The 21585-nt window shown below is 50.9% G+C and overlaps 3 pseudogenes, besides 2 other annotated features; 2 read left to right on the top strand and 1 right to left on the bottom strand.

Annotated features, from left to right (window-relative positions):
• Positions 3355 to 7588, top strand: GOLGA8VP (golgin A8 family member V, pseudogene; annotated as a pseudogene).
• Positions 9356 to 9631, top strand: RN7SL209P (RNA, 7SL, cytoplasmic 209, pseudogene; annotated as a pseudogene).
• Positions 15587 to 15666: an enhancer, noted in NCBI's record as "active region_10196". NCBI's record gives its function as "activates an Ori minimal core promoter by ATAC-STARR-seq in GM12878 lymphoblastoid cells {active_cell/tissue: GM12878}" and the evidence as "EXISTENCE:reporter gene assay evidence [ECO:0000049][PMID:35858748]".
• DNM1P47 (dynamin 1 pseudogene 47) lies at positions 15846 to 18240 on the bottom strand (annotated as a pseudogene).
• Positions 18498 to 19697: an enhancer, noted in NCBI's record as "BRD4-independent group 4 enhancer chr15:102303375-102304574 (GRCh37/hg19 assembly coordinates)". NCBI's record gives its function as "activates an origin of replication core promoter dependent on BRD2, P300/CBP, MED14 and CDK7 cofactors, and independent of BRD4, by STARR-seq in HCT116 cells {active_cell/tissue: HCT116}" and the evidence as "EXISTENCE:reporter gene assay evidence [ECO:0000049][PMID:35650434]".

Below are 21585 nucleotides of genomic sequence, written 5' to 3'. Positions count from 1 at the left end.
GTATTTTTAGTAGAGATGGGGTTTCACCATGTTGGCCAGGCTGGTCTCGAACTCCTGACCTCAGGTGATCCACCCGCCTCAGGCTCCCAAAGTGCTGGGATTACAGGCGCAAGCCACCGCATCTGGCCCAAAATCTTTATGTTGTTACAGATATTAGACATGTTTCTTGTTTAAGAAAAAACTTTTTAACAGTAACATAGGAGAATAAGAGAAACGTTTTTCCAAAAAAGAGAAACTATTGTGATTATTTTATCTTACTGGAATGTTGGATAATATAGTCTGCTTCATTAATCATCAAGCGTGCTATGAATTTTTCATTTTTATAGGATCTTTATCTCATTTATGGTAATACTGGTAATTTTTGTACTGTGTTTGAAGGTGAAAAATATAGGCCAAAATCATAGACCTTGCATAGAAGCTGGATAATGAAGACAGCTCTGGAGGAACACATAGATACACACACACAGACACACATATATATAAAGTATGCACACATACATTTTTTAAAGTTTTAAAACTTTTAAAGCAAAAGCCAGCCCCTCCCCTGTCCCAGAGTGGGTGGTCCCTCCACTCTCTTAGAGTGGGCGGGGACAGCAGTTGCATGGGCAGCTTTCCTTGTGAGCCACAGGGCCCTCTGGACATACTGCTGCCTGGCCAAGCCCCCTTTCCCTTTCATCTTTGTCACTGACCAATGGGCTTGGAGCATTAAGGCCACGCCCCTGTTCTGCATTCTATTGGGGCCCTGGTTACACCTCCTCTGGCTCAGTCACACAGCTGCCTGGTAGGCAAGTGGAGGTGTTCATCAGTGCTCCCTGGGATTTCGCTCACGTGGCCCCAACCCCGCCTCCCTCCCCACCCCACCTCCCTCCCCACCCCGCGATGGCAGAAGAAACTCAACAGAGCAAATTGGCCGCAGCAAAGAAAAAGGTAAAAACGCACCAGATCACGGCCCGCCAACCCAACCACAGATCCCCTCTGACGACAAGACCACTGCCAGAGTCCATACCACTCCTGAGGCACACTGGACTGGGCCCCCCAACTGTGGCACCTCTGGGGTTCCCCCAACAAAGTCTTGTCAGTCAGCCCCACTCCTTCAGCAAGCAGCCCAGTCCCTGCCCTCACCAATTGCCCCAGGTTGACTTTGGGCGGGTGAGTCCTGGGGATCCCCACTCCATTACTGGGCCCTCACCTCCAGACGCCCCAAGCTCAACCTCCCTGGGCTCTTTGGGCTTGCATCTCCAAGGACCTGGGTCCCCCAGCCCCTGGCCCCACCCTCGTCAGTCATCCCTGGGTGACTTTGGGCTGGTGACTCCTGGGGCTCCCTGCTGCAGACTGTGCCCTCCCCTCCTGCTGCCTCAAGGTCGACCTCCCTGGGCTCTTTGCGCTGGTGTCTCCAAAGACCTGGGTCCCAACCCTGTGTTTCCCTCCCCTGTTGTAGAGCGGCAACTCAGACATCGTGCTGATGTGGTCCCTCCACCCCACCAGGAGGAGTGGAATGTAGTGATGTCACAGTCTGCCTAGGAACTGTCATTACTGCAAGACCAGCATTTGATCTTATGACCCAGCCCCTAAGCATTCTTTCCCCATTTCTGGTTCCTCTGGTCACAGCACAAATTTCCAGCTGGAAGGGGAATGGACTATGGGACCTAGGAGCAAGAGGTTTCAGGCTGCCTTACTCTCTTAACATAGACATTGACAGTGGGAAAAGCCTACACTTTCCCCATGAGCATAAAATGTTCACAGTATCTCTGGTTGGCAGTGGGGGAATGGGTTGGGTTTGGTTTTTCTCCCAGGCTTCTACTTTCCAGAGAGATTTTAACATTTTTTTCCTGAATTCTCCACCTCATATTCTAATTCTCCATGGTTCTGGGACCAGACTGCCCTTCATTCAGTGGTCTCCGAAGTGAGATTGGCTCATCTTCTGTGGAATAGATCTTGGTAAAATGAACATGACAGCTTGAATCTTCCTCATATTATCTCAACCTGGGGTACTTTGAGTGCCACAGGATAATTGTGGGACATCTTCCTGAAGCATCAGTTTCCCTTGATTCTCCTGAGATCATGAGAAAAAGCATTAATGTACTTATGGATGACAGTCACATAGGTTTCTAAGAATATACCAGATTTCTCTCTTAAATGAGGGTTGGGCTGTCCTCTTTCTGATAAATTCCCAGATTTAACAGAAAGGCTGCCTTCTGCCATGAGGACACATTGATATAAAAGTTTGAGAGGTACTGGTGCACTTCTTCACACTAACAGACGTGTGAGGATGTATGACTCTAAACCACATGGCATACAGTTCCTGCCTACTTAATGTTTACTTTTCTACCTCTGCCTCTGGTTTTGGTCTCTGGCAGCTGCTAATTCTTGGCAAAACCCCAGAGCATGGAGTCAGAAGGCTGAGTTTCAAAGTTCCAGTATTGCCTTTTTCTTTCTTTCTTTCTTTTTCTCTTTCTTTCTTTCTATCTTTCTTTCTTTTCTTTATTCTTTCTTTCCTTCCTTCCTTCTTTCTTTTCTTTTCTTCTTTCTTTTTTTCTTTTTCTTTCTTTTTCTTTCTCTGTCTCTTCCTTCCTTTCTTCTTTTTTTTCTAGCCATGATATCAATCCCTCTCAGTCACTAAATGATTGTGACAACACCTTGTACAGTTGTTGGTGTCATTAAATCAGATGGTGTATAAGAGTATTTTGTAAAAATTATAAAGGAGGATGTGGCTGATAGTTCTCATGAGTATTACTGCTCTTCTTTCCCACAGTTAAAAGAATATTGGCAGAGAAACAGCCCTGGTGTTCCAGCAGGAGCAGAGAGGAACAGGAAAACAAATGGCAGTGGCCCTGAGACAGCCACCTCTGGTGGTGGCCACTCACCTGGGGATGTGAGTCTTGGCTGGCCAGGCTCCTGGGGACAGGGGACCCAAGGGGCAGTAGAGGATAATTGTTAGGATTGTGGATGGACTGTTAGGTACTGGTTAAGAATTCTGGGTTTGAATCCTGCCTCTCCATCTGCTAGGGCAAGTTGCTTGAGCTCTTTGGGCCTCTCTTTTCACATCTGTATGATAGAGGTGGTATTGTTTGACTTCCTTTTGTGAAGTTTAAATGAGATTTGTTATTGTTGTTTTTATGTTAATCCCTAGTACATGGCCTGCTGTAAACACTGAGGACACCCAGGATATGGTCATTGCTGTTTGATTTTCCTCATCCCCAGTCTCAAGGGGAAGCCAGGACAATGAGAACAGCCACTTGCCATCAGGAGTCACTGAAAGGGCCCCAGGGTGGGATGGTGGGGAGATAAGAACCATGAGAGAAGTTGGCACAAAGGAGTTTTGGGAGAAAGGGTCCAAGATAGGCAGAAAAGAAAATGTTGCCAGTTGATGGGGAAGAAAGGAAGTCAGAGGGCTTAGACACTAAGGGGGAAAGAACATCTCCACGTGCACTCTCATCTCTTGTAGTCAGCACCAGGTGTCCATGGGGAGGGCCCTACATCATCTGCTACCCTGAAGGATCTGGAGGTAAGAGGCTCTGGGCGGAGGTGCAGTGACCCTGCAGGCCAGCCCTCCAACCTCCTCCCACAGCGGGGACTAGGTGCCCCTCTGCCTCCTGAGACAGTCCACACACACCTCAGCCCTAATGATTGTTCTCTCTACCTCTTCCCCTACTCCACTCCTCCTGCACCTCCTCCTCGCTGCATGTGCCTCAGAGCCCATGCCAAGAACCAGCAGTAGTCCCAGACTCCAGGTCTGTAAAAATCAGTCAACTGAAGAACACCATCAAATCTTTGGTAAGAGTCCAGTGGGGTCCCCCAATTCCACGCTGCCAATCCTGGGCTCGTTTCCCCTTGGGGCCCTGAAGAAAGGGGCTGGGGGCCCCTGGTGCCAAGGGCAAATAGGGAGCTGGGGCATCCAGGCCTCACCTGGAGGGACCCCAGAACATGCAGCATGGCTCTTCTTTTGCTGCCCTCTTTGCCGACTCTCTCCTCTCCAGACACCCCTGCTCGAGTCCTTGCTACACACGCCCTGGGGTTGTTGCCTCTCGGGGAAGTGCTAGCCTGACTGGTTTTCAGCGGCCCCGTATTTCTGCCATGACTCAGTCCCTAATTTGCTCTTTGATTCTGGACAAGCCACCTTTCCTTTTTGGGCTTGTGTTTTGAGAGGAGGTAGTGAGTATCAAAGGTCTCTGTCAGCTCTGAAAGTCCGAGATTTAAAGGCCCCCTAGAATGGAAACCTCAGGGCCAAGGGCTCCTGTCAGTCCTTTTCCACCCTATATCTGCTGTGAAGAACCGTACCTGGCCCGTACGGGCTCAGTAAATATTTATTGAATGAACGCACTTTTCTAAATCACAAGCTGGCAGAAGGAGGGGCCTTTCTCAAACTCCATCTCTAGAGGTTTATGTTACTCTCCTCTCAAGAGATTCCAGATTCCGACTTTGAGTTTTGTGGCTGTAGGTGAAAGCCAACAAAGACCCAAATCCTCTGTCCTTGGGAGCTTGAAGAGAGTTTACCAGTTCATGTTCCCATTGGGTCTGAGAACTTTGCCTTTAAAATCCATTCCTGGTCCCTGCCTACCACTTCCTGGTCTGGGGAATAGAGCTGAGGGGGCCACCCTCCATCACCTTAATTTGACTCTCCCCACAGGAGCAACAGAAGAAACAAGTGGAACATCAGCTGGAAGAAGTAACGTGATTTCTGTGTTTGCTCATGACATGACTGCTGGGTTTGGGGGGCACTCAGATGTAGAGGCCCCAGTCTCATCTTGTCCACTCCCAGCCTGGGAAAGAAGGCTCACCCCTCAGATTCCACCCCATCTCTACAGGGTCCCTGATAACCTGGTCCCACAGATGGGCCTGTCCTGGGGCATTGGTGGCATTCTGGGGGCATGTCTCTTGCTGTGCCATCTCTGCCTCCCCCTGGTAAGAGCTCTGTCTTCCTCTTTCTATAGGAAAAGAAAGCAAACAATGAGAAACAGAAAGCCGAAAGGGAGCTAGAGGTGAGTGGAGGGTGTGCAGTTCCCTCCTGTCCTCCAGAGAATGTTTCTTTCCTTCTCTTTCAGCACTTGCTTGGCTTTTCTCCCAAAGGTTCAAATCCAGAGATTGAACACACAGAAAGGGAAACTAAATATGGACCTATATCATACGAAACGTTCTCTCAAGTATTTTGAAGGTAGGAATCTGGGCACCCTGTCACCTTTCCGCCTGGCACTTTGACATGTCTTTAGGGAGAGTCCTTTGGGTCCCATCTCAAATCTCTCATTACAGATGAGTCCAAGGGTCTGGCCATTCGCCTGCAACATTCATTGCAGCGTATAGCAGAGTTAGAGCGGGCTCTCTTTGCTGTCACCACCACACAGGAGAAGAAGGAGGACAGTGTGAGTTCAGCCACTTGCCCCATCCCCTGGCAGCTTGGCTTCCTAGATGGAGGAGTGAGCCTAAAGTTCCCTTCTGCAGGATGGACTGTCCTGCCCAGAATGCAGCATGGCCATTTCCCGCTGCTTTTGTGTATGGTTGTTAGAGCAGCCTGGGGCTGAGTCAGCTGCTGTGGGTGAGTTGGGGGCCACTGTGGGGAGCAAGCACTGGACGCAGAGCTTGGAGGCCAAGTGCCTGCCCTGCCCTTACCTGGCTGTGGTGTTGGCCAAGTCCTACATAGGGTATTAGGTACTTCTACTGTGAAGGTACAGAAGAGTACCTTTAATATGTTACCATTTCTGTAGAGAGAGGAAACATGAGTGTGTGTGTGTGCACGTACTATGATAATATACATAAAACATGTGTGCAAGGGTTCATAAAAAACTCAGGAGAGAGCAACAGGGTGGCTGGGAGATACTTCCCTTCTGTACCTTCTGAGTTTTGGACTATGCGAATGTATCATCCATTCAAAAAGTGAACAAAAGATTAATTTTCCCCTTCCAATCTATGCCCCTACCCCCAGCAAGAAAAATGGGCTTAGAGAATTGCATAGACCTGGGTGTTCAAATCCCAGCTCTGCCTAAGTGATCTTAGGCAAGCACTTAACCTCGAATACTCCATGTGTTTTCATCTACACAATAGAGGTAATCATAGTAACTGTCTCCTATGGTGGTTGCAAGGATTAAATGGGATTGCCAGCATGGTATCTGGTGAAGCACTCCATAAATGTTCAAACAGTGGTAGCAATAACAGTAATTACAAAGCAATATTATCTGATCTCTCTGGGCCTCTGTTAGCCAGCTGTAAATTCAATCTCTTTCCCTGTCCCTTCCAACTTGACTGAGTTCTTTTAAAAAACCATACCACGAGCTTGGAAAGGCCTTGATCTTTACTGACAAAGTTGTATACTGAGCCTAGCCCAGGCCTTTTAAGGGGCACTGTGTGGAATGGCCTGGGCTCTCCAGATCGAAACTTCTCACTCTTCACCTTCAGACCTTGAGCCGCAGTAAAGCAGTTATCGAGTGGTAGTTAGAGTGGTCCATACAGGAGCAGGCACTGCTGAATGCACACACTACATGGGTGAGGTTTTGCAGTGGGAGGGATGTGGAAGGAAGATGAGCCAGGTGGCCAGGAGCAGCTGAGGACCAGTGACAGCCCTTCCTAACTTCTGTGCCCATTCTTGCAGTTGAAGGAGTTGCTTAAACAAATCCGGCTAGAGAGAGATGAATATGCTCAACATATAAAAGAAGAGAGGGCCCAGTGGCAGCAGAGCAGCAGAGGATGAGGAAAATGTCGCAGGAGGTGAGATCTGACCCTTCAACCCCCCACCTTAGATAAGTCACTGGATCTTTCTGGGCATCTGTAAAATGGGAATAGTACAGCCAGAGGTGGTCCTGGGTCTGGGCTTTGTGGAGGTGGGGGCAGAGAGGGAGATGGCAGCCTGTCCAGCCACCAGCCCCTCTCTCCAGGGCTCTTTACCCCTGTGGTTTGGGCAGGTTCACACATTGAAGAAGGAGAAGTATGAAACACATCGGGGAGAGAAGCTGGAGAGGAGCTTGTCCAAACTCAAAAACCAGATGGGTAAGATGGGGCTGGCATGACCTGGGAGCAGGACTGGCATCAGAGGGCTGTGGGAGTGGCTTAGAATGCCCCAGAGAGGTGGGTCAATGGAAGGGCTTTGAGGCAGAAGGAAAGAGGTCTGTGCCAGAGACAGCAAGTCTTGTCATCTCCATGATCCTCAGTGTCCCCATCAGCAAAGAGGGCCCGTTGTCAGCCACCCACAGTGCTCTCTATCTGAAAGTGGCTTGGAAGATTGGCTACCATCTGGGTGTGAGGAATCAGTAGCAGTGAGGCCAAGTTCGGGGAGCCTGAGAGGAGCTGTGCACCAAGAGGAGGGTTTTTCTTTTGTTTGTTTTTTTGAGAATCCAGAGGCCTTTATTGTCTGCTTCCTTTCTCAGCTGAACCCCTGCTCCCGGAGCCTCCAGGAGTGCCCTCTGAGGTGGAGCTGCAGCACCTGAGGAAGGAGGTTGAGAGAGTGGCAGCAGAACTCCAAGCCCAGGTGGACAACAATAAGCGCATGAGTGTCCTGATATTGGGGCAAAAGGAGAGGCTTCAGGAGCAGGATGAGAGGCTTCGGGAGCAGGACGCGAGGCCTCAGCAGCTGGCCGAGCCACAGAGTAGCTTCGAGGAGCTGGTGCGTTGCCCCACCTAGGGAGCCTGCCCTCCTCCCTAGCCCTCCAGGCCTTTGTTTCCCCACCTGTAAAATGGGGCAGTGTAGCCCTCAAGTGAAACGTTACTTCTAAAGGCACCTGTGAGCCAGAGCCGTGCTCTGGTGGCTGTGGGAGACGGGATGATTTTTCTAACCTGCCTCCACCCTTCCCGGTGCCATGGGAGGCAGACACCAAGTTCTGGGGTCTCCAGCTGCAATGGGTGGCTGCTGATTGCTTCTCTCTGTCCAGAACAAGAACAAAAGTGCACTGCAGTTGGAGCAGCAAGTAGAGGAGCTGCAGGAGAAGCTTGGCGAGGTGAAGGAGACAGTAACCTCTGCCCCATCCAAGAAGGGCTGGGAGGCGGGCACCAGCCTGTTGGGAGGGGAGGTGCCAGGCCAGAGGCAGCACTAGCCTGTGGGCAGGTGACCTCAGCACCCTCCAGGGCAGTCCTGTGACTATTTCTTGCTTCCTGCCTTCTGACTTTTAGAGGTGGGTAGCCCTGGGCTCCTCCCAGGTCTAGACATCATCATCTCAGCTAGCGGCATGGAGGCCCCAGTCACAGGGGAAGAGACAGTGGTATAAGAGGCTCCTTATGCCAGGTGCAGTGGCTCACGCCTATAATCCCAGCACTTTGGGAGGCTAAGGCAGGAGAATTACTTGAGGTCGGGAGTTTGAGATCAGCCTGACCAACATGGTAAAACCTCATCTTTACTAAAATTACCAAAAAAAAAAAAATTAGCCGGGCATGATGGCACATACCTGTAATCCCACCTACTCAGGAGGCTGAGGCATGAGAATCACTTGAGGCCAGGAGGTGGAGATTGCAGTGAGCTGAGATTGCACCACTGCACTCCAGCCTGGGCCACAGAGTGACATTCTGTCTCCAAACAAAACAAAAAGGCTTCTTAGGTTAAAACTGGATTCCAGCCTCGGTTCCACTGGTCACCATTCAAGTACTTTGCATCTCTAAGTCTCTGTTCACTTAACTTCAGAAGGAAGTTAACATTTTCCTTACAGACGTGCTGAGGATTAACTGAGATAATACTTGGAAAGCATTAGCAGATGGTGGTTGGCTCCCAGTGCTTTTCCACCAGTCTGTGGCCTACAGTTTAAATGGTGAGAAGAGGATATGAGATTTGAGGCTGGGGAAGGAGGCATGGGGTTCTAGGAAAAGGAGGCAGTCACTTAGGCCTGGAGCAAGGGGCCAGGGGCCTGGGCAGGCGACAGAGCCCCACAATGCCCTCACTACCCTATTAATGGGCCCAGAATCTGGAAGCCAGCAACCACAAGCCCTCACACCCAGGGTCTTCCTGCAGGTGGAGCTGAAGAGCCGAGAGGCTCAGAGTCTGCAGCAGCACCCAGATTATTACCTGGGTCACCTGCAGCAGTATGTGGCCACCTGTCAGGAGCAGGTGGCCGCCTATCAGCAGCTGACCTCTGAGGAGGCACTGCACAGCCAGTTACTGCAGCAGACCCAGCTAATGAACCAGCTGCATCAGCAGGAAGCTCGAGGCAAAGCGATAGCCGACCTGGCCCGCCAAAAGTTGCAGGAGACCCAGGGGAGGGAGCTGCTGAGGCTGGGGCCCTAAGGGGGACAACCTGGCAAACTCTGTGCCTTCTCACCCTTTCCTGGCCCCTTAGGAGTGCCTGGAAGCTGCCAGCCAGCAAAACCAGCCCCTACAGGCCCAGTTGAGCCTCATGGCTCTCCCTGGGGAAGGTAAGGGAGACTGCCCAGAGGAAGAGGAGAGAGCTCCAGGAGGAAGTGGGGACTGTTAGCAGCATAGGATTGAGGAGATGGAAGAGACCTTTAGAACAGCTGGTCCTTATGCCGACCGGGTGCCCGCACTAAGTTCAGCATCAATATGGTGACCTCCTGGGAGCAGGGGGCCACCAAGTTGCCTAAGGATGGCTGAACTGGCCCAGGTCAGAAAGGGAGCAGGTCAGAACTCCCGCACTGACCGTAGTGGGATTATGCCTGATCTTGGTTCTTAAAAGTAAAAATAAAGAACAGCAGCTCATTTCTCTCTGGGTAGTGGCTGGCTCAGGGTTACACAGTGAGGGTGGAGGCAGCGGTGGGCCCACAGTACCCCCCTTGTTGGGTTGTCTGAGGACCCTTCTGGCCACCCCCCACAGGAGATGGAGGAGGACATCTGGACAGTGAGGAGGAGGAGGCACCTCGGCCCATGCCGAGCAACCCGGAGCACCTGGAGAGCTGGGAGGCCACGGTGAGCCTGACTCCCCCTGTACCCATTTTGCCACCTCCCTCTGTGGTCCCTCCAAGACCCCTTTATGCTCTTGGTTTCCCTGCCTTCTGATTTCTCTGGACACTCACCCTTTCCGGGAGCCAGTGGTCAGACACCATTTCACCTGTGACCAACAGATGCACTCTCTGAGACCCCAAGGGAAGGGGCTGCACTCCACCTCTCTGCCCTGTTTGTTCTGTGTATGCCTCTACAATAATGCTCACCTCTTGCCCTCAGGTTGCATTTTTCAACTCCGCTGGAGCCAATGCCCAGGAGGAGCAGGCACGGTTACGAGAGCAGGTGAAAGAGCAGAGGGTGTGCTGCCAGCGCATGGCTCACCTGGTGGCCTCAGTCCAGAAGAAGCCAGAGGCAGCGGTCCCAGCCCCAGTGACTGGGGGTGACTCTGTGAGTGGGGAGACCCACCAGGCTATGCAGGAGGTCATGGAGAAGCTGGAGGTGAGTGAGTCCTGGCATGGACCAAGAAGGGCAGGGGTGGGGCAGGTCACTGCCGAGATGTGAACCCATTATTTTGGCTCCAGAGTGGCCTTATGGACCTCCTGGAGGAGAAGGCGGACCTGAGGGAGCGAGTGGAGAAGCTAGAACTTTGATTCATCCAGTACTGGAAAGACAGAAGCCATCAGTGAGCGGGAGGCCAGGGCACGGCAGCGGGAGCTGCAGGGCTGTTGGAGGGGCCTCAGCGTCAGAGTCCTGTCCTCCCACAGGAAAGTTCATCACCTTTGAACAGAGCCAGGGGGCAGTACCAAAGATGCGGCAACTGGAGGAGGACATCATCAGGCTGGTCCAGGACAAGGAAGAGATGAAGGTAGGGTGTGCAACATCTCTGCAGGGGTGGGGGTGGGCGTGAGGGTGGGCGCCGGTAGATGCATAACAGCTGAGCACCCCTCCCTTCCAGGTGAAGCTGCTGGAGCTGCTGGAGACGATGTTGTGGCTTGTGGTGACTACAACGAGGGACACAGCAAATTTCCCGGCCACTGCCCTGAAGCTTGCTGATGAGCCTGGTCCAGGAGCCCCAGCCCCCCAGGAGCTTGTGGGTGCTGACAAGCATGGTGGTGAGTAGAGTCCTCAGGCAGGGTGGGCAGGCAGGGGCAGGGGAGGCTCTCACTGCACTCGGATCCCCACCTCCTTCTCTCCAAAGATCTTTGTGAGGTGAGCCTCACTGACAGCGTGGAGCACCCAGGCTTGTGCAGCAACTCCCGTATGCCATTCTTTCGCTGGGCTTGGCTGCTGAGAAGAAGGAGATAAACATCACCATCATCAAAGAGCTGCTCAAGAAATTTTAAAAAAGGAAAAAAAGTTATGGGGTTCATCTCCTACCCAATTCATTTACTTCACTTGAATGTTAGAGCCACTCATGATTATTTGTGTTTGTAATTTATAGTTTAAGTTTATTTGTAAAAAGTTAAAGGAGAGTGGGTCTCTGTGGCTTTCACTGATGTTCACTCTGGCATCCTTCAGCATTTTTCTTTTTTAGTTTCATAGTTGTAGGTCATTAGCATGCATATCGAGTTTGCCCTTATGTGGTGGGAGTTCAAATACACAAAGACCCACTATTTGCACAAAATTATTCTTGCTGGTTTGGAATAGGCTGCCATGCTTTTTTAATGTTATTGCAGCATGTATATTCATTACGGAATTCAGATAAAATTTGCTTATGTTCTGCTATTGTTTGATCTAATCTTAATCACAGTGACCTCTTCATTAGCTCAATATGTGGTTTGCCCCCAAGTGTGCACTTTTTATTACTTTGTAATATGGCACTATGAGTACTGACATTTAGAGTTGTTTAAAGGCTGAGAACTGGAAACAGCCTTTCCCCTATTTTCTGTGTATTGGCGATGGGAGTAATAACATTTTGGGGGAGCTTTTAAAATCTCACAGAAGAGGAAAGTGGCCTGCCGTGGCAGGTATGTGCAGGATAGAGTGTGTTTCATTTGTTCCGGTGCCAACAGTTAGCGCTGTACTATGGTAGTTCCCTTCGGATTTGTATGTGCTCTGGGCTCATGAAGATATTGCATCATGAGCTGCAGCAGTTGTACTCTTTCTCGATGACCTAAAAACCGATCATTTCTGAGGAACGAAAGGCTCCCTTCGTTGACTGTAGATGTGGAAAACATTTCCTAGCTTAGAGCATTTGTGTCTATAATACATTTTAAAGTCAGAGTTGATGTTACCTGTTTTAATCACATGACCACATGTCCCAGTACACAAAAGAGTGCTGGCTGGCATTCTTCTTATTTAGTAAAGATCATAAGAAATCCTTTAGGAGTTTAAATGTCCCTGGAACAGGCATACAGGCTCTAGTCAAGAATGAATTAGAGTGAAGGAAAGCTTGTGACACCTGGCATTCCTCTCTGTTCATGGAGCTTCTTTGAGGCTTGAAGATTGATTTTTACCATCTAGACCTCTGTGGCTAATACCTATTCTTCAACCACCTTGCTTACTCTGACATAGGAATTTACTTCTTTTCCTTGAATGGAAAACACTTTAAAAAATAATAACAAACATTATTATAAACTAATATAAGTGAGAGTACTTAGTTGAAATAAAAAGGAGTTTTAGTAGACAGTATTTTATAGACAGCATATTATATTTGAAAATCAAGGAGAAGTTTATGCAATTTAAAATGTTTATAAACTGCAGTGCAATCTACTGTTTGTGAATGTCAATGTATTATCAGGAAATGTGTCTATACAATCACAGAGTTATATTTCCTGACAAACTTGTTTACTAAGAGTGAAATATGTTTTTGTACCTCTCGGTTTCAGTTAGGGACATATTTTGTGCAATATTTATGTGATTGTGCCTATGCATGATGAACAAATGATTTCAGTCATACATTGCCTAAATCATAACTTGATGATGCTTGGGAAAGACTCAACAGTTCAAACTTCATGAAGTTCTAATGTCTGTGTTCCAAAACACATCACATTATTAGGATGTAGGGAGATGTGTATGTGCGCTCCCTGGGGTGGGGATTTCTAGTTACTAGACCATCTCCATTTTTAGCATTTGGCGTCCTCATGATACTTTTCTAAATATGACATTAACAGGAGAGCAACAATATGATTTTACCGATGGAATAACAGATTTGCCTGCATTCACTGCAAGAGCGCAAATATTGGGTCCTTGTGACTTCAACTGACTCTTCCAAATTGTATGAATGTATCAATGTATTAGATAAACCCAGTTTCAGAATGACAAAGAAAAAATGTTAGACCAAATAATGCAGCTAATTAACAATGGTACGATTTCTAGCCCATGGGTTTAAAATGGACCTAAAGTTCTGTTCTTGCCTTTTATTTTCTGAACTTGCTGCTTTTGCATTCTTTGAGTTCAGTTTAAAGACAGTTACTTTAAGTCCATTTTAAACCCTCAGGCTAGAAATCATACCACTGTTAATTAGCCACATCTATTTGGCCTAACGTTTTTTCTTTATCATTCTGAAACTGGGTTTATCTAATACATTGGTAAATTATTTCAAAGGTACTTTTATTGTTGAAATCACTTCACTTTTACCCTGATAAATATCAATGACTACGAATGACCTTCAGATAGCGTTTAGCATCTGTAACCAATCTGACAATAATGTGTTCATCAGGTGCCTATGGATTAAATCACATACTGGCATATTTAAGCTGAACGTCAGTCTGGAAATAAATTTACTACATTAACTGAAATACCACTCTTTGTGTAAGTATTTGTCATATATTTAAGAGAAAGCTAAAAAGAATGGAAATCATATGACTAACTTGTCTTTCTTCAAAGTGCATACAGTCTTTTGCGATACCTCATTGAGCCAAGTATTTGTGCTCTTCCTCATTCAGTACAATGCAGCTTTTGATTTGCTTAGAAGGAAGGTTAGAGTTCATCAGAAACATAGAATTTTAAAATGCTAGTTCAACTGAATCAATTTGAATTTCTGCAGGAATAATCAAAACACCTATTTAAAGATTGCAATATATAATAATTATTTTTAAAGTATTTGATTAAACCTGATAGGTTTTCCAGAAATGAAAAAAAGAAATCAGTTCTAAAACCAAAGCTGATTTTTAGAAAATTTGAAAATGTAAATCAGCCCTATCCATAATACAGTTTCTCTAAAACTTTATCTTAAAGAGTCATTTAAAAATAATGTAACTATTAAAAAATGTAACTGCTATCTTAAAGTTCTGAAATAAAACATTTTAAAATATGAATGCTATAGTTTAAAAGAAAGAAATGGTGGAAAGGAAAAGTAGAGAAAGAAATGCCAATTCCAGTCCAAAGCTTTATTTGCCAAGTTTTCTTAGAATGAATTTTACCAATTTATGAATTCTTGTAAACAGAAGGTATAATGGAAATACTGAAAAACTTTTGCCTAAAGTGGCATTATTGACTGCTAGTGTGATGCTACTGTAATGTAATAAATTATTAAATGTTGCAAAGCGCTGTTTTTGACTTAAAATTTTGTTTTGCATGTCTTGAAAAACTATAGTATTAAAGGTGTTGATAGTGTGCAAATGCTGGGCACGCTTGGCATGAGATAATCTGTTTCATTTTTACAAAATTGTAATATAGCTATGCAAGTGTTTGTTAAAAGAACACAAAATAAAAAAGTTACGGGATTAAAAAATGTTACAGAGTGAAAAAGTTATGGGATAAAAAATGTAAAAAAGTTGTGGCAAAAAAGTAGAAAAAAATTTTATGAAAAGTTACAAAAAAAGTTATGAAAAAGAAGTTACGGGATTTTAAAAAAAGTCATGGGATAAAAACAAAAATTAAAAGCAGGCCTCTGTCAGCAAAGCCTGGAGAAGTAGGGCTGGAGTCTCCACTGCCACCATGACCCTACCACCCCTTCCCAGTCACCCCTTTACAATTAGGGTAGCCACACAAGACCTCTGTCTAATGGGGAAAGACAGACCCTTTGCCGCCTTGACCAGGGCTGAGTCCTCAAATTTCTGGATGATGATGATTGTTATTTAAGAGCCAGAGGCTGGCAGAGGTGGTTTGTTTGGAGGAGGTCTGATGGCCTCCTTACTCTCACCATAGTAACTTTTCCCTCGGGGGGGCTCCCATCTTCTTATTCAGAGAGGCAGCTGAGGCGGGACAGTGGGGCTAACTGTGGACCAGGTGAGGGCACGGGCTGCTGGGGTGGCCCCCCTTCCCGGTTTACATATTGTATCTATGTAACGTTTTGTATATTCCAGAGGGTAGGGCCGCCCCTGTATCATACCTAGAGGAGGTTGGAGCTGGCACATGGGGAGGAGGGTCTGATCATTATTTGTGGCTGGGAAACTTATGTATTGCTAGCACAGGACAGAGAAAGGAGGCGGGGATGGGGTCATGGCTCCTGGTGATGCGACTCCTGTTTATTTTGCTTTTTATTTTGGAATAAACGGATTTAGCCATACTGCTCAGCCTGGTGTGTTCCCATTTCCCTCACTGGGTCCTGGTGTTTGTGCCACTGAACGAGAAGCCCTGGAGTGTCTGAGTGTGTCCAGCTGGGCTGTTGGGGACCTTCCAGGCCTGTTACCTGTATGCTGCCTGGTGACGCCTGGGGGATTCCACGGGGACTGCCATGGCACCTATGGGGCGCAGCCCGGCCCTGACAGCCAACAGGCTCAGAAGCGTGATCTAGCCATGGCTGGGAAGACAGGTACCAGCACCTAAGGGCACTGCCTTCCACCCACCCCAGGTGTCTTCCGTTCCATCCCCTTGCCTCCCTCTCCTGTCTGCACCTGGTGGCCTGTTATGTCTGTGTCCCTCCAGAGTGCCGGCTGCCCCTCAGGCTCCCTCCAGGCTGAGTTCACGGCCCTGCCCCCTGGTGGCCAGAGCCGGCTTCACAGGATAAGAGCCAGCTAAGCTCCAGGGGCTTTCCAGGAAAAGTGTCCCTTGGAAAGGGTGTGACCTTTTCACAGCTCCCAACAGCACCCTAGAAATGGCTTGGCCTTTCCCGTCCTCTGAGCTCCACACAGAACACAGCCAGCAGAGGACACACTTCCCTGCCATCCAGAAATGGGTTTGATTCTCAGCCAAGGGACAGCAGGACTGGTAGAGACTGTCAGGCCACACAGAGGCCTGCACAGCACCCCCATGCTTGGTGGGGGGTGGGAGGGATGGAGGGGCTGGCTGTCCACAGGCTGGGCATGACAGGGAGGCTCACTGGAGGTGGCGCACTTTGGAGGAGCAATGTCAGGGGACAGCTTTCTCTTGTTGGGCCACAAGACTCCAAAAGGACAGCAGGGTGACTGATTCCCAGCGCTAGAGACGAGGCGGTCGGCCAGGTGTTGCTGCATGTGTGTGTGTATATGTATATATATATATATATATATATATATATGTATTTATAGATATTTATAGAGCAGGACGGGACATATCACAAAGGGGGCACAAGTTTTCAGCAGTGGTCACACCTGGATGTGTCAGCTCACCACTACAACAGACTAAGTCGCAGATGTAGGGGGCTGGCTTTGGGGCTGGGGGAGCCACTGTCAAGTCACAGAACAGCCGCTCAGGCAGGCTTGGAAAGGGAGGTCACTGAGAAGAGGAGGGATCTGTTTAGACGTTGAAGGAGGGGCTGGGGCTCTGAGGATGGGATGGTCTTGCCGGACCCAATCAGCTGGCAGTTGGAGAGAAAGCAGAGAGAAGCAGGAGAGAGAAAAGCAAGCAGAGAGAAGCAGGAGAGAGAAAAGTGAGCAGAGAGCTGATGAGGCAAGTGCAGAGCACAGGCATGCCACAGCAGCTGTGGGAGGGCAGGGGTGGGGAGGGCACAGGTGCGGGTATGGCGAGGCTCCTGGGAAAGTGGGGCTGGAAAGGAAAGGAGAGGAAGAAGGAGGGAGGCAGAGCTTCACAGTTAGTGCCTGGGGGTTGCAGCGGCCCTCCCCACCCCACACACGCTGGCATCTTTCAGGGCACCCAGGGCGGTGCAGCCACCGTTCAGAGCAATGCTCCACAGTTAGTGCCTGGGGGCTCCGGCGGCCCTCCCCACCCCACACACGCTGGCCTCTTTCAGGGCACCCAGGGCGGTGCACCCACCGTTCAGAGCAATGCTCAGCCCCCTCCAGTGTCCCTCTTCTCTGGTCACCCTGTCTTTGAACCCACTGGCCCGGGGCCATCTCTTGCTTTTGGGAACCCAAAACAACAGCCACCAGTCCTGATAGAGAAGGAACACTGCTTGAACCAGGATGATGAAGCTAAAAGGGATGGATGGCTGGAGTGATCGCCGGAGCCCCTTTTGGGCAGTCAGAAAGCCCAGGACCCTCTGAAGGGACCCTGGGGGAGGTAGGGAGGACAGGCAGCTGGATGCCACTGGCTATAGACTTATAAGTCTAAGAGGGGAGCCTCAGCTTGTTGGGGGTTGCAGGTCACAAAGGTGAGGGCTGGGAAAAGCAGAAGAGGGAGAGTCCATGGCAAGGGAGGTGGGTGGGCTTGCTGGGTGGAGCTCAGCCGGGCCAGCATGCACTATGGTCCCCTCGGCTGAATAGCAGAAGCAACCTCTAGAAGCAACAGACCAAGGTGCGTGAGCCTGCTGGCTGGCGGTAGTGCTTCAGCGGGGGCCAGGGACCCTGCCTTCAGCCACACGCTAGCAGCTATGATGGTACCTGGGAGGGAGGGAAGGGGACTGTGTGTCCCTGCCTGGCCTGTGAGGTGTGTTGTGGGTTGACCGTGTGTATGGGAGTCTCAAGGTTTTATCTTAGATCACCACTGGATTGTCAACAGATAGAGGAGGTGGGACCCTGACTATCACCCCTGCTCTGCAGTAGATTTGGCTCTAAGCACTCCCAGGCTGGGAGCTGGATGCCCTCCCTGGCAGCATGACTCAGACTTCACAACAGCTACAGCGTGCCCAGGATGACATTCCTAGGCCTCTGGCCGCCTCAGAGTACAGCCCTGCACACAACCCCCTCCAAGCTCTCAGCCCTTACACCATAAACCACGAGCTCTCTGACAGCTCCAGAGAGAGCCCATGTCTGCCAGCTTGGGCACAGAGCCTGTTCCAAGAGCCCACAAGCTCAGCCATGGAGGCTGGGGGGCTTTGGGGCTAGTGGGGGCCAGCCCTGGTACCTGGGTCCAGCCGGGACGCTCTGTACCTGCAACTAGGAGTCGTCCACGGGCCCCCGTAGCTGTGCTGATGGTGTTCATGTTGATGTCGCCGATGATGCTGAGAGCCTCTTTCAGCACGTGGTGCATGCACAGCATCTCGTCGCGCCGCTATGCCTGCTCCGCCGACTCCTCCAGGAGTGTCTTCTTGTCCCTACGCGAGTGCAGGTTGGACAGCAGCTCTGAGAAGATGAACTCCTTGGTCTGCCTGCTCTGCCGACTCCTCCAGGAGTGTCTTCTCGTTCCCACGCGAGTACAGGTTGGACAGCAGCTCCGAGAAGATGAACTCCTTGTTCTGCCTACTCTGCCGACTCCTCCAGGAGTGTCTTCTTCTTCCCACGCGAGTCTCGTCACGCCGCTGTGCCTGCTCTGCCGACTCCTCCACGAGTGTCTTCTCGTTCCCACGCGAGTGCAGGTTGGACAGCAGCTCTGAGAAGCAGCATCTCGTCGCACCGCTGTGCCTGCTCTGCCGACCCCTCCACAAGTGTCTGCAGGTTCCGACGCGAGTACAGGTTGGACAGCAGCTCCGAGAAGATGAACTCCTTCGTCTGCCTGCTCTGCCGACTCCTCCAGGAGTGTCTTCTTCTTCCCACGCGAGTCTCGTCACACCGCTGTGCCTGCTCTGCCGACTCCTCCATGAGTGTCTTCTCGTTCCCACGCAAGTGCAGTTTGGACAGCAGCTCTGAGAAGATGAACTCCTTGGTCTGCCTGCTCTGCCGACGCCTCCACGAGTGTCTTCTCGTTCCCACGCGAGTGCAGGTTGGACAGCAGCTCTGAGAAGATGAACTCCTTGGTCTGCCTGCTCTGCCGACGCCTCCACGAGTGTCTTCTCGTTCCCACGCGAGTACAGGTTGGACAGCAGCTCTGAGAAGATGAACTCCTTGGTCTGCCTGCTCTGCCGACGCCTCCACGAGTGTCTTCTCGTTCCCACGCCAGTGCAGGTTGGACAGCAGCTCTGAGAAGCAGCATCTCGTCGCACCGCTGTGCCTGCTCTGCCGACTCCTCCACAAGTGTCTGCAGGTTCCGACGCGAGTACAGGTTGGACAGCAGCTCCGAGAAGATGAACTCCTTGGTCTGCCTGCTCTGCCGACTCCTCCAGGAGTGTCTTCTTCTTCCCACGCGAGTCTCGTCACGCCGCTGTGCCTGCTCGGCCGACTCCTCCATGAGTGTCTTCTCGTTCCCACGCGAGTGCAGGTTGGACAGCAGCTCTGAGAAGATGAACTCCTTGGTCTGCCTACTCTGCCGACGCCTCCACGAGTGTCTTCTCGTTCCCACGCGAGTACAGGTTGGACAGCAGCTCTGAGAAGATGAACTCCTTGGTCTGCCTGCTCTGCCGACGCCTCCACGAGTGTCTTCTGGTTCCCACGCGAGGGCTGGTTGGACAGCAGCTCTGAGAAGCAGCATCTCGTCGCACCGCTGTGCCTGCTCTGCCGACTCCTCCACAAGTGTCTGCAGGTTCCGACGCGAGTACAGGTTGGACAGCAGCTCCGAGAAGATGAACTCCTTGGTCTGCCTGCTCTGCCGACTCCTCCAGGAGTGTCTTCTTCTTCCCACGCGAGTCTCGTCACACCGCTGTGCCTGCTCTGCCGACTCCTCCATGAGTGTCTTCTCGTTCCCACGCAAGTGCAGGTTGGACAGCAGCTCTGAGAAGATGAACTCCTTGGTCTGCCTGCTCTGCCGACGCCTCCACGAGTGTCTTCTTGTTCCCACGCGAGTGCAGGTTGGGCAGCAGCTCTGAGAAGATGAACTCCTTGGTCTGCCTTCTCTGCTGACGCCTCCACGAGTGTCTTCTCGTTCCCACGCGAGTGCAGGTTGGACAGCAGCTCTGAGAAGATGAACTCCTTGGTCTGCCTGCTCTGCCGACGCCTCCACGAGTGTCTTCTCGTTCCCACGCGAGTGCAGGTTGGACAGCAGCTCTGAGAAGATGAACTCCTTGGTCTGCCTGCTCTGCCGACGCCTCCACGAGTGTCTTCTCGTTCCCACGCTAGTGCAGGTTGGACAGCAGCTCTGAGAAGCAGCATCTCGTCGCACCGGTGTGCCTGCTCTGCCGACTCCTCCACAAGTGTCTGCAGGTTCCGATGCGAGTACAGGTTGGACAGCAGCTCCGAGAAGATGAACTCCTTGGTCTGCCTGCTCTGCCGACTCCTCCAGGAGTGTCTTCTTCTTCCCACGCGAGTCTCGTCACGCCGCTGTGCCTGCTCGGCCGACTCCTCCATGAGTGTCTTCTCGTTCCCACGCGAGTGCAGGTTGGACAGCAGCTCTGAGAAGATGAACTCCTTGGTCTGCCTGCTCTGCCGACGCCTCCACGAGTGTCTTCTCGTTCCCACGCGAGTACAGGTTGGACAGCAGCTCTGAGAAGATGAACTCCTTGGTCTGCCTGCTCTGCCAACGCCTCCACGAGTGTCTTCTCGTTCCCACGCGAGTGCAGGTTGGACAGCAGCTCTGAGAAGCAGCATCTCGTCGCACCGCTGTGCCTGCTCTGCCGACTCCTCCACAAGTGTCTGCAGGTTCCGACGCGAGTACAGTTTGGACAGCAGCTCCGAGAAGATGAACTCCTTGGTCTGCCTGCTCTGCCGACGCCTCCACGAGTGTCTTCTCGTTCCCACGCGAGTGCAGGTTGGACAGCAGCTCTGAGAAGATGAACTCCTTGGTCTGCCTTCTCTGCCGACGCCTTCACGAGTGTCTTCTCATTCCCACGCGAGTGCAGGTTGGACAGCAGCTCTGAGAAGATGAATTCCTTGGTCTGCCTGCTCTGCCAACGCCTCCACGAGTGTCTGCTCGTTCCCACGCGAGTACAGGTTGGACAGCAGCTCTGAGAAGATGAACTCCTTGGTCTGCCTGCTCTGCCGATGCCTCCACGAGTGTCTTCTCGTTCCCACGCCAGTGCAGGTTGGACAGCAGCTCTGAGAAGCAGCATCTCGTCGCACCGCTGTGCCTGCTCTGCCGACTCCTCCACAAGTGTCTGCAGGTTCCGACGCGAGTACAGGTTGGACAGCAGCTCCGAGAAGATGAACTCCTTGGTCTGCCTGCTCTGCCGACTCCTCCAGGAGTGTCTTCTTCTTCCCACGCGAGTCTCGTCACGCCGCTGTGCCTGCTCGGCCGACTCCTCCATGAGTGTCTTCTCGTTCCCACGCGAGTGCAGGTTGGACAGCAGCTCTGAGAAGATGAACTCCTTGGTCTGCCTGCTCTGCCGACGCCTCCACGAGTGTCTTCTCGTTCCCACGCGAGTACAGGTTGGACAGCAGCTCTGAGAAGATGAACTCCTTGGTCTGCCTGCTCTGCCGACGCCTCCACGAGTGTCTTCTGGTTCCCACGCGAGTGCAGGTTGGACAGCAGCTCTGAGAAGCAGCATCTCGTCGCACCGCTGTGCCTGCTCTGCCGACTCCTCCACAAGTGTCTGCAGGTTCCGACGCGAGTACAGGTTGGACAGCAGCTCCGAGAAGATGAACTCCTTGCTCTGCCTGCTCTGCCGACTCCTCCAGGAATGTCTTCTTCTTCCCACGCGAGTCTCGTCACGCCGCTGTGCCTGCTCTGCCGACTCCTACATGAGTGTCTTCTCGTTCCCACGCGAGTGCAGGTTGGACAGCAGCTCTGAGAAGATGAACTCCTTGGTCTGCCTGCTCTGCCGACGCCTCCAC

Source organism: Homo sapiens, chromosome 15, assembly GCF_000001405.40.
Source record: "Homo sapiens chromosome 15, GRCh38.p14 Primary Assembly".
Lineage (NCBI taxonomy): Eukaryota > Metazoa > Chordata > Mammalia > Primates > Hominidae > Homo > Homo sapiens.
The sequence above is the reverse complement of the archived record's forward strand: the minus strand, read 5'-3'. Positions and strand labels throughout refer to the sequence as shown.